General features: G+C 49.9%; 2 annotated features.

Moving 5' to 3' along the window:
* Positions 1–501: an enhancer, noted in NCBI's record as "H3K4me1 hESC enhancer chrX:40378215-40378715 (GRCh37/hg19 assembly coordinates)". NCBI's record gives its function as "activates a minimal SCP1, AML or CMV promoter by ChIP-STARR-seq in primed H9 embryonic stem cells {active_cell/tissue: H9 hESC(primed)}" and the evidence as "EXISTENCE:reporter gene assay evidence [ECO:0000049][PMID:30033119]".
* Positions 502–1,002: an enhancer, noted in NCBI's record as "H3K4me1 hESC enhancer chrX:40377714-40378214 (GRCh37/hg19 assembly coordinates)". NCBI's record gives its function as "activates a minimal SCP1, AML or CMV promoter by ChIP-STARR-seq in primed H9 embryonic stem cells {active_cell/tissue: H9 hESC(primed)}" and the evidence as "EXISTENCE:reporter gene assay evidence [ECO:0000049][PMID:30033119]".

The following is a 2,313-nucleotide window of genomic DNA, read 5'->3' as shown; positions in this document are numbered from 1 at the left end:
AAACTGCTTCATTCACTTAACAATGACTTGTATTTTTCTAAATAAAATTCGATCCACATGAATCTGTGACTGGCTGCCCAGTGTTCTGTTGTATGCATATACTGTAACTTATTAAATGTACCCCCTATGGTTCATTTAGGGAAGGTGCTCAGTATTATGCAAACAACACTGTGATGAACTCACCTGTGTCAGCTATTTCATTACAATGACTTTCTACAATTGCTGGGTCACCTTGGAAGCCTTTGACTCGTGGCTGAATTGCTCTCCAGGAAGCTTGTGCAGATCGATTGTTCCACTAAAGTAAAGAAGAACCTGGGCCCTGGGCATGTTCTCAGCCCTCCTCTCCCTCCTCCAGTCAGTACATCTCCTTCCTGAATACCTCCATGGCTGGCCCCCTGCAAACCAGACCAGCTCCAGGTGAAATGGAGCTGCCTATCCGGGGTGCTCTCTGCCTCCTGACACCCAGCCCTGCCACTTGCCTGTTGAGCTGCTGGCCTGTGAAGGGTCCTCGCTGCCATGGTGAAGCGTGGCCAGGGCTTTCAGGGGTGGGAAGCCAGGATTGCGGGCAGTGCTCACAAGGCTCCCCTCCCCACCCTATTCCACCAGACACATGGAAGGTCACCTGGAGGTCACCTGGGACAGTCCCTCCTGGGGCTCTGCAAATCTATTCCCACTTTAGCCTCCATTCCTGTGATACCCTCCCAGAATCCCCATCCTGTCCTCTTCATGCCCTCAGTGTGAATGCCACTTCCTCCACGGAGCCTTCCCTGATTCCAGACAGAAGGAGTCCCTCCCACCTGTAGCTTTGGAATCCTTTTATGGAGACATTGGTGTGGTTGTCTTATTCCTGCTTGTTCGTGAAAGGGTCATATATGCAAAGTGGCCCTCAAATGCCAAAGGAGCCAAGAAACCAAAGAATGAGGCAGACAAATCCAGTTTGTCAGTAAAGGATGTTTTATTGTGGGAACTAACAGAGAGAAGCATGGTCTTGGGCAGCGGGAAGACAGGTAGATCTCCACACGGTTCCCCCCTAGACCCAGATTGTACACCACAGGGAAAGGGTATAAGTGCTCTGTGCAAGACGATGAGAGGCAGCCCTCCAGAGCAGGCGAGACTGCTATGTGCGTCAGAGCCTATAATTTGTGTGATAGCATCAAGGTTGACATGTTCTTACAACAGGGACAGTAAATAAAGTAGGAATCAAAGGCACTTATGGGACTAGAGCCAATCAAAAGTCAACATGGCGAATTGGCATCCAAGGTGGAGTCACTTTTGTCTCCACACTGCTTATTGGCCAAGATTTTTTTTTTTTTTTTTTTTTTGAGACAGAGTCTCGCTCTGTCACCCAGGCTGGAGTGCAGTGGCACAATCTCTGCTCACTGCAATCTCCACCTCCCAGTTTCAAGTGATTCTCCTGCCTCAGTCTCCCAAGTAGCTGGAATTATAGGTGTGAGCTACCACGCCCAACTAATCTTTTGTATTTTTAGTAGAGATGGGGATTTTGCCATGTTGGCCAGGCTGGTCTCCAACTCCTGACCTCAAGTGACCCACTCACCTCGGCCTCCCAACGTGCTGAAATTACAGGTGTGAGCCACCGCGCCTGGCCCCAAAATATCTCTTGAGACGACAACTGCATTTCATTTACCAAAGGCAAGAATTGCTGTGTAGTTTCCAAGCCCAACTCTCCAAGGGTTTCCCATCTGAGACTCCTTGGGCAGGGAGGAGGTGAGTGTCTGACCAGAGAAGGAAGGAGAAGAGAGAAGGAGCAGTTCACAAGTCCATCTTGGACCTTCTATATCCCCTTATACTACACACAGGGCTGAGGCAGGGTTTCTAGGACTCTAGGGAGCCCAGACTTTTCAGTCAGCATGGCTGCCATTCTCAGTGACTTTGGGGCCGTGAGGAGGGCTTCTGAGATGGGAGGCTGAGCATCCACCAGCACATGGAAGCTCAAGGCAGGGGCACTGGTGATGGCAGAGCTATGACCATAGCAATTATTACTAGTAGTATTACCAGTACTACTGCTATAGCAACTCCTTCTTTCCCTCCCTCCCTCCCTCTCTCCCTCTCTCCCTTCCTTTCTTCCTTCCTTCCTTTTTTTTTTTTTTTTTTTTTTACAAAGACAAGGTCTTGCTCTGTGGCCCAGGCCGGAGTGCAGTGGCACAATCACAGGTCACTGCAGCCTCAAACTCCTGGGCTCAAGTGATCCTCCTGCCTCAGCCTCCCAAGTAGCTGGGACCACAGGCATGCGCCACCATGCCTGGCTAATTTTTTGTATTTTTAGTAGAGACGGGGTTTCACCATGTTGGCCAG

The sequence above is a fragment of the Homo sapiens genome, chromosome X, assembly GCF_000001405.40.
Source record: "Homo sapiens chromosome X, GRCh38.p14 Primary Assembly".
Lineage (NCBI taxonomy): Eukaryota > Metazoa > Chordata > Mammalia > Primates > Hominidae > Homo > Homo sapiens.
Note: the sequence above shows the minus strand (reverse complement) of the source record. Positions and strands in the feature narration are given on the sequence as shown.